The following is a 10,199-nucleotide window of genomic DNA, read 5'->3' as shown; positions in this document are numbered from 1 at the left end:
TGCTCAGCTGTGAGGAGTGCAGGGCTCTGAAATGGGCCTTTCACCCCCACCTCTTTCCCAGTTCACAGCTGTTTCTGGGGATTGGACACCACTTAGACATGGAGACACAAAGGGAAGCTACACACAGGGCACACAAATTCCCAGGAAAGGCCTGTAATGTTGCTGTTACTTTCTAAACCTGCTTCTGCTTCTAGGTAGATAAGTCTTTCCTACACAATCAATTATAATCTCCAGCTATGAATATTTTCACGAGTGAAATGAGTTAATGTGGTTGGGCTAGAATTGTTCACCTTCCATATGAAGTTTAGGTTGATAGAGTAACTTTACACAATACAAAACCAACACCATTTCTCATAATAAATTGCAGATGAACATGCCCAAACCATTACCTTCACACTTGGCAAAACAGTAGTACTCTGTGCAGGGGCATATCATGCAATTTACTTCACAAAAGAAGTTAATAACCTCGCAAGGGGGCCATGACAGAGTCCACAGTTCAATGTGTCTTTCCTTCATATTTTATGTAACCTCTGTTCCTCAACGTCTTCATCTATAAAATGGGCTCAATATGAACATCTACTTCCTAAGGTTGTTCTGTGAATTAAACGAGTTAGTGTATGTATAAACGTTAAAACAGTACTTAACACATACAAGCATACTATGATTTTTACCTGTTATATCTGCATGCCAGGTATTATATAAAGGCAACTTGCAGTCAATAATGTTAATCCTTGATGTATTCCATTCATTCATTAAAATGAATATTTTAAACAAGTTAAGATACAAATAACGCTGGGAGAAAAACTACTGTTCTCAGAAGCATTCATGTAACGACTGCGAGTATAAATTTGTTAAATTCCTAGAGTTTGTACCTCTGAGGCTCAATCCTTTGTTTTTTTTTACATTTTTGCGCAGTGGCCTCTGGTATTGGTAAAAATGTTGCTCAATAGCTTGTGGAAATGCCTTCATATTTTAAAGTACTAAGTACAATAAAGAATGTCCCTCTCCATTTTTGAAACAGCCAGTTTGATTTTGAAAGTATTGTTGTTTAGGAAAGACCAGTAACCTGTTAAGGGGCTGTCAGAAATATCTGGACACATGATCATAATCCTAATCAGAGTAAGAACCATCTGTACTGGGCACTCACGATGTGCAAGACACTGTTGGAAGCACTTAATATGCACCATCCATTTTAATCCTTACAATAATCTTGGAGACGTACACTCTTACTGTGCCCAATTGACAAATGCAGAAGCTTTGGATCCCAGGTTAACTAACTTGCACTGGGTCACACAGTGATTCAATAGGAACACCAGAATTCAAACCCAGGAATTCTGACTCTGGAGCCAAGCTCTATTAGCTATGAGATTTTGAAAATCACAAAATTGCTCTGAGCCTCAATTTCCACATCTGTGAAATGGGAATAAATGTAGGCCCTCCAATACTGGGAGGTTGTGACTTGCTGCATTGGAACTGTCTACTTTTTGTCTTAGTCTTTGGATATCTAGAATTACTCAAGAAAAAGAAATATAACAAAGTGAGAGCTTTTAAAATATGTGTTCTTTCCTTAGGAAGGACCCTGAGAATACGGCCTTGCAAGCCCTAGAAACAGCCTTGAAGAATGAGGGTACCTGAAACACTTTCTATAAAAGTGGCAGGATGTTGGGACCTGGTGGGCACACAGGTCCCACTTATCCCCCATGGACTCTTAGCTTTGTGGTGTGAATAAAGCATGAGCAGGGCCTGAACAGGACCCTCCAAATTGTGACCAGGGCCCTTTTTGGTCAGGACTATGCTTGTACTGTTCACATACCAGAATAGCAAAGGAGAGGAGAAATATGAGAAAGGAGGGAAAGGGAGTTTCTTTTGCTGGTTTGCTTTATATTTTTTCACTCTGTTCTTTTAATGTAGTCTCTCCTATTATGTTTCTACAACTTAAATTTTCAAAAAACAGCGGAGTTTAATTTAAAAAAATAGTTATATGGTCAATGTGGAACTTGTAGATTATAGAAGACCATATCACCAGTTATTAAAAAAAAGATATACACCTTGTTCACAGCATGGTGTATGCCCATGTAGTTCTCTCCAAATGTCTACACACACACACACACCCTCACATATCTGCTCAAACTCAGTTACAATTATTTTTGTTACAGTAACATTATCGATTAACACGTATTTCCACTGAATGTCTGACCATTTTCCCATCAATTATTAGCCCCAAATCACCCTCCCACATTCTCCCCACCCCCAAAGACCTCAGGAGCCCGTTCCCCACACATAAACATTTTTTTATCCTTTAGAATCTAAGATATTCCCCTCTCAAGCTTCTGACTCCTGCTGTTCCCCATTTCCTGACTCTGGATCTTCCTCCCAGCTTCCCTACTCCCATCTGGGTTATCGTCTCCCTACCTCTCATCCCAAACTTCATCATTCCCTGCTCCTTTCCTGACCCTGGATGTCTCCATCACCCCTCCTTTTCTCCAGCCACCTGGGTTAGACCCTGGCCCCTTTTCTTGCCCAAGTTGCAAATCACCTCTGCTAAGAGGGTATATAGACCTAAGTGGGAACTTCCTGCACAGAACTCCATTTCAGCCAGTGGGAATAAATTATTGCTAGGACAGTATTTTATTTCTTCTCTCGTCCAAAGAGTCAGCTAGTATGTTAACAACTTTCTTTAACCCTCCAAATATGATATAGGATTAACGATTTTTCGAACCGCAATAAAAAAACACACCTCTACATTTTGTTTAAACAAAACAATTTATTTTACTAATTAAAACATTTCATAACAGAAAAGCAACTTGGAAAACAGAAATCTCAGCTCAAGGGCAAAGGCAAACTCTTGAGGAAGAAGGTGGCCCAGAATCAAAGGCCAACAGCAGGTTAAGTGCTAGGTGGTGGAGTCATGGGGAGGAGAGGCTTCTAAACTACTCAGGATGTTGGTTAACGGCTGGAACTTTGGGAGACCTCGCAGCTAACTACAGGGCAGGCAGCCCATTCACAAAGTGGGTAAATGTTGATTCCTTCTGTGGGTCTTAGAGGATGCTTATAGAGGGTCACGGCTCAGGCGGTGTTGCGGGGTGAGCTGTGCTCTCTATTTCTGCCTGCTCTTCTGGAGGGACAGGGCTCAGAGCATAAAACTCAGGCATCAAAGCATACCTAAGGCTTTCAGGGCTAGGAGTGGAGATAGATCTCAGGCCCAAAAACTCAGGGGAAGGGGATGAGGGGCTTAGGCCAGGAGACCTACTCGGGGAGGAGGAGTTGGAAGCATAGGAGGAGGAGGAGCTCTCATCCCACTGCTGAGGGATGGGAAGGAAGAACCTCCCAGGGGGTGAGGGTGAGGAGGCACGCATACGGACTGCATGCCAAACAGGCGGGGAAGCACGGCTTGGGACCTCAGGATCAGGAGAGCCTGATCTGCTCTGAAAGGCAAGCCTTTCTGAGCCAGTCCCACAGGAAGGATTCTCATCAGCTGACCCAGACAGAGAGCGGCGGCTGAGAAGGGCTGATCTTTGCTGGGTGGAACGGCTCCGGAGGCCAGTGCCTGGCGTCGTGCTGGTGCTGCGATGACCGGCGTCTGACCTTGCTGTGCGGACGCGAAGGGCAGGGCCTGGCGCAGAATCGCGGCCTCGGCGGGCAGAGCCTGGCGCAGAATCGCGGCCTCGGGGGGCAGAGACTGGCGCAGAATCGCGGCCTCGGCGGGCAGGGCCTGGCGCAGAATCGCAGCCTCGGCGGGCAGGGCCTGGCACAGATGCACGGCCTCGGCGGGCAGGGCCTGGCGCAGATTCAGGGCTTAGACGAGCAGGGTCTAGATGAGTGGCGCGGTGTGGAAAAGCAGGGCCTGGCTGGGCGGTGCAGCCTCGGATGACAGGGCCTGGACCAGATGCACGTCTGCGGAGAGCAGAAGCTACCAGGGTGATGCGGCTTCGGGTAGCAGGCCTTGCCTCAGATGCGTGGCTTAGGAGTGCAGGGCCTGGCTGGGTTGCCTGACTCGACGTAGAAGCCCCGGAACAGGGATAGCTGCTGGGCCGGAACCCTGGAGAAGATGGCGGCAAAGGCTCAGGAAACAGACGCCGCCCTGGAGGCTTCTGAGCCGGGGCAGCCTGGTTGCGGCAGGGCTGCTTCCTACGACGGCTGTTCCCGGGGCTCTTGGTCTGGGCCAGGTGCTCGTCGGCGTGGCCAGTGGCCTTCTGGGGCCCCACAGCGGCCTGGCTGCCCCCCTCGGGCACCACACACCCAAAAACTTCGTGAGGACTGCGGCAGTCCTGGCGGTCAGAATGCCTCTCCGTCAGCACAGCAGCTATGATTGGCAGCCCCGAGGCCTCATCGGTGATGAAAATGGCGGCGGAGGTGGCGGCTGCAGCGGAAGAACCGGCTGTGCTGCTGCTTAGGGCGGCGCCGCCCGAGGGAGATGCTTGGCTGGAGACTGTGGTGACGGAAGCAGCAGGATCTTGATTCCCGGTCCCGCAGGCATCCCCGGAGGCAAGGGCGGTTTCGTTGTTCAGCCCTCCCTGCCCCTCGTCCTGCTGGTGCTTCTGCTCCTTCTCCATGTCTGACTGAGTGGCCATAACGCCAGGTTCTCCCCCAGAGAGCAAGAGCGCAGCTGCTACTTCTGCCGGAGGAGAGCGCGAACTGGTAGAGCAAGAAGGTGGGTGGAGCCCAGCCAGTCCTCGACTCTGATTGGCGAGCTGGACGTCAGATGACTCCTCTCTCTTCCCGGGAGCCGTCCAATCCGGAGCCGTGCAACCCAGAGCCAGGCGCCTATCGTCAACCCGGAGTGTGTGCTCCAGCCCTCTGGGGTCGACCCTGGTTGCTGGGTCAGTAGTGTGAATCTCCTCTCCTCACACGGGGCCCCTAAGACACGTGTTTGTGTGTGTCCGTCCCTAAGACACGTGTGTGTGTATATGTGTGTGTGTGTGTGTGTTCCACATGAACGATTTGAGTCACCCCAAATCGTGGCTGAGGCTTAAGTGGTCATTTGAAAGAAATGCCACACTGGCCGGCAGGTTATATCTCCTGGCCAGGTGTCCCTCCTCGCACCCGGTCAGGACAATGAAACCAGGCATGACGCCCGAAGGGACCACCCTGGAACTCCTCCAGGCATCTAGATGACCCCATGTGGGGTCTGGTGGGTTTTAGGGTTATACAGAGGCCTGAAGGCGAGAAAAGGGAAGGGGCCCACACCGTCTTGCCTCCGGATGTTCAGCACTGCTGCTTCCCCCAGGTCCCACACACCTCAGGTCCCACACACCAGAGGGGGATTTAGAACTGTGCCTTTTCCCCCAAGGCACAGTTAGGGATTGCCTAAGGTTAAGGGTGACACCGTCCTTAAATATTTTATGGGCTGCGTAGTAATCCGCTGATGAACATATATTAATTTATTTAGTGTGGTCTCTAGCTCCTAATTAATATAAATATGCTGTAATGTATAGACTTGAAGTTTAATATTTGGCCACTCATTTTTAGTCATTATTTATTACAAAAGGTGTCATGTTCAGTACTCAAAACAGAAAAGCAAATGTAAGAAAACTACACCTAAGTCCTCAGGCACCCATGGGAAAGTGCTGGAAATTTTTACTTAGACTTTGGTAGAAAGGCCCTATTCATACATATTTCATAGTTTTTTAAATTTTTTATTTTATGAAATGGAATAGTTTCTCCATAGATACTGCATTGTAACCTGCTTTGGGTTCCAGAAAGCACATTTTCTATGTCAGTAAACAAATTTCTACGAGGCCACTTTAAATTACAAAATACTCCATTTATAAAAGAAGTTTACATTTTCAAACATTCCCATATTGGCCACCGTTTATGCTGTTTCCAACATTTTACATCATTGTGAGACACATCCTTCTCATTAAAAATTGTTCATATCCTTAAATGTGTCATTGTGGATAAATTCCCAGAAGAGAAAATTCTTGGTACAAGTCTATGAACATTTGTAATTATTTTAATTACTTAATTAATTTATTTATTTATTTTTGAGGTGGGGTCTGGCTCTGTCACCCAGGCTCGAGTGCAGTGGCATGATCTCGGCCCACTGCAACTTCTGCCTCCCGGGTTCAAGCAATTCTCCTGCCTCAGCCTCCCGAATAGCTGGGACTACAGGCGCGTGCCACCCATGGCCGGCTAATTTTTTGTATTTTTAGTAGAGGCAGGGTTTCACCATGTCGGCCAGGCTGGTCTCAAACTCCTGACCTCAGGCGATCTGCCCGCCTCGGCCTCCCAAAGTGCTGGGATTACAGGCGTGAGCCACTGCGCCCAGCCACATTTGTAATTCTTTGATTAAAAATATTGGCAAACTAGTCTCCTGAATGTCACTGTTATAACATTTTGAGCACAATAAAATCGGATATTTAATGGAATTGGTGAACAATTGGGCTGAAATGCAACACAAAAATAGAATGGAATGGTATTTGGAGTGTTAAATAATATAGTATGGAAAATGGATTTGAAATGGTATGCAGGATGGGATGAAATGGAGACTGCAATGGAAACTGGAATAAAATGGGGAGTAGAATACGGGTTTGAACAGGATGTGGAATGGAATATTGGAAATTTAATGGAATTTAATTGGAAAATGGAATGGAACAGAAAATGGAAAGAAATATCTAATGTCATATGGAATAAAATAAAAATATATGAGAAAAGGAATGAGTGCAATACAGTATGAAATAAAATATTAAAGAAAATAAAAGGAAATCAAAATTGGAAGGAATATAGAACGGAACAAAATGTGCAATGGCCTGAAATAAATGGACTATGAAATAAACAGTATAGATTTTTAAATACCGGAATAGAATGAAATTTAGAATGAAATATAGAATACAGTTTATGAAGGATAGAATAGGAATTCAATAAGAATGGAATATGGAAAACAAAATATTGATAAAATACAGGATAGACATAAGTGAAGAAGAAAAATGAACAGAATATGTCTGCTCATCATTATTCCACAATTTAGTGTCATGAAACAACATCCATTTTAACATTCCCATGGATTTTGTAGAGCTAGAATTCAGACGGTACATAGTGGGGATGGATTGTCTGTGTTCCTCGATGTCTGGGACTTCTGCTGGAAACTTGAACGGCTGTGAGATCATGAGGGAAGGACAGCAGTAAATGATGAATCCTATATTTTTATGGATGATGGTGCCACTTACCGAAACAGGGAAAACTTGCTCAGTTGAAAAGATCAGGAAGATGGTGGGAATCAGTGATTCTGTTATGACCATGTTAACCACTGTTCCCTGTATAGTTGAAATTTTGGGGTATGAACCCCACTTATAGCTATTCTCTTTGTTCTGTAGGCCAACTTTCACCAGTTTTATGGATCCACTTTTCCACTTGGGAGTCATTTCAATCTATTCCCTGAGAGTTTTCCTCCTTTCTTGAATCTCCGTGGGCCTTAGTCGTGGTCCCTGACTTAGTAATAATTAAAATGCTATCTACCCTTGCTCTCTTTAAAGGAATATATATGTCTTCTACTTATTGTTTTGCTATCCTCCAAGATCTCAAACTTTAAAGAAGCCCCTCTTTTTAACTCCATTGTTGTCTTCAATATCCTCACCTTTCTCTTTGCCTCTGTTCCATTTAAAAGTATATATGTATCTATGTACTCATTAAAAAAATCTGAAAGTGTGGTTTTTCGTTCTTTTCATACTTCATCTTCTGAATGGTTTCAATGAGCATATATCACTCTTGTACTAAGCAAATATAGCTACTGTATTTCTGAAAAGAATTATGTTTAAACAGGTTTTAAGCTATTATAACAAAACAAGCTCTCATATATACTACTGGATAGAATTATAAATTCATAGCACCTTCCAAGATGAAAATTTGATGATATGATGATACCTATAAAAAGTCTTATATGAAATGCATAATTCCTCTCCAGGCATTAATTCTAAAAAATATACTCATATCTTTACAGTGTTATATGCTCAAAGGTGATTATTATAGTGTCAATTATTTTTAAAAATCTGAAACAACCCAATTTCCAGTAGAATGCTAGATGCCTAGAGAATAAACTTATATAGGATGTTACAGGATGTTTTTGAAAAATTTTTAATGCCATAGGAAAATGGCTACGAGATTAAAAAAAAAACCATGATGTACTGTATCTACTGATCTATATTTACATCTGTTTATTTTTACATCTACCTAGTTATTAAAATTTTGTTCACCATAGTACAGTTGTTCTCAGCTAGGGGAATTTTGCCCTGCAGGGGAAATTTTAAAATGTCTGAAGAGTGCCATAATTGGGGAGGAGGAGTTCTACCAGCATTTAGTATATAGCCATCAAGGATGCTGCTCAACCCCTTCAATGCACAGGAGAGCCTCCAACAACACAGAATTATCTGGTCCAAAATGCCAGTTGTGTGAAGTTTGGCAAACCTTGCAGTATGGAATTTAGATAATTTAGAAAAGTTTAAGATAATTTAAATCACAAGCAATTTTACCAGTGACTGATAACTATGTTTAAAAGTCTGATATATGTACATATTAAATATTCTGATATTTTTGTATTTTATAATCAACAGTATATTTTTGAAATAAACTAAGCCATTTAAAAAATTCATTATTCCTGAATAAGCCACAAATATTTTTCACATATTAAGCATACTACTCATTGCTTAATAATTTATTGTTTGTTTGTTTTTTGAGACAGTCTCGTTCTATGGCCCAGGCTGGAGTGCAGTGATGTGATCTCGGCTCACTGCAACCTCCGCCTCCTGGGTTCAAGTGATTCTCCTGCCTCAGCCTCCCAAGTAGCTGGGATTACAGGTGTGTACCACCATACCCAGCTAATTTTTGTAATTTTAGTAGAGACATGGTTTCACTATGTTGGCCAGGCTTATCTGGAACTCCTGACCTCAAGTGATCACCTGCCTCTGCCAGTGCTGAGATTACAGGTGTGATTTTTTTTTTAAAATGAGACCAAGTCTCACTCCGTAGCCTAGGCTGGAGTACAGTGGTGTGATCTCAGCTTACTGTAGCCTCCCCCTCTCAAGTGACTCTCCTGCCTCAGCCACCCGAGTAGTTGGGATTACAGGCGTGTGCGACCATGCCCAGCTAAATTTGTGTATTTTTGGTAAAGATGGGGTTTCACCATGTTGGCCAGGCTGATCTTGAATGCCTGAGCTCAAGTGATCTGTCTGCCTTGGCCTCCCAAAGTGCTGGGATTACAGGCATGAGCCACCAGGCCTGGCCTGATTGCTAAGAATTTATAAAATTTAAGATCTGTAATTTCAGCTCATTTAGATGGAGGAATATTCCACAATTATCAATCCAACAGAGATGTTCAAACTTCTAATAAAATTAATGTCTAAATATTTACGTATGTGGTTAAAATAAAGAAAATTTGATTTATAACACAGTGTAGCGGATATATATATAGTAGTGTGATTGACTAACCAGGTCATAGTAATCTCACTACCACTCCAGTGACTGGTTTGGGAATAGTCATTTCCCAGTTGCAGTCAATAAGATATGGATGCTTGTGTTTTAAGGTTTTGGGGGGAAAGGTTTCTCAGCTCTTGAAAAAATAAAAGACACAACATGTTTTTTACACTTAAAAATTAAAGAATATATATCAAATATTAGAATAAATGAATTTGGTGTAATCAGTGGACATAAGGTCAATATTACACAATGGAATTGTATTTCCACATATTAGCAGTAAAAAGTATAAAGAGGAAATTTTAAAATTGCCATTTCCTATAGCATCAGAAAATATCAAATAGCTAGGAACAAATCTAATAAAAAAATTCATAAGACCTTTGTCCAGAAATCAACATGACATTTCTTAAATAAAGAAGCCCTACGTTAATCAGAGATATGTCATGTTTGTAGATTAGAATATTATGAAAATTAAATCAGAGAAAATTCTCATCCAAACAGTCTATGTATTCAATGCAATACAAATCAAAATCTCAACAGATAATTTGAAAATGTAAACCAGCAAACTGATTCTAAAATATGAATGGATATCAAAGATCTAAGAACAGCCAAAGCCATCTAGAAGAATTTGAAGAACTTTCACAGTCAGAAAAGCCATAATTAAGATAGTATGATTTGTGTACAGTAACATTTTGTTACGCAGGAATAGATAAATAAAGATATATATGTTTAGATAAAGATAGATAAATAGACCAATAGGACAAGAAGAGAGTCCACAAACAGACACACACATA

At 42.6% G+C, this 10,199-nt stretch overlaps 1 protein-coding gene across 1 annotated transcript; it reads right to left on the bottom strand.

Moving 5' to 3' along the window:
* Positions 1-2,744: 2,744 nt before the first annotated feature.
* On the bottom strand, positions 2,745-4,640 carry EZHIP (EZH inhibitory protein). Its single transcript, NM_203407.3, has one exon. It carries the CDS (start codon positions 4,569-4,571, stop codon positions 3,060-3,062), a length of 1,512 nt encoding a protein of 503 aa, NP_981952.1. The 5' UTR covers positions 4,572-4,640; the 3' UTR covers positions 2,745-3,059.
* Between the last annotated feature and the right edge of the window lie 5,559 nt (positions 4,641-10,199).

This window comes from Homo sapiens, chromosome X (assembly GCF_000001405.40).
Source record: "Homo sapiens chromosome X, GRCh38.p14 Primary Assembly".
NCBI lineage: Eukaryota > Metazoa > Chordata > Mammalia > Primates > Hominidae > Homo > Homo sapiens.
Note: the sequence above shows the minus strand (reverse complement) of the source record. Positions and strands in the feature narration are given on the sequence as shown.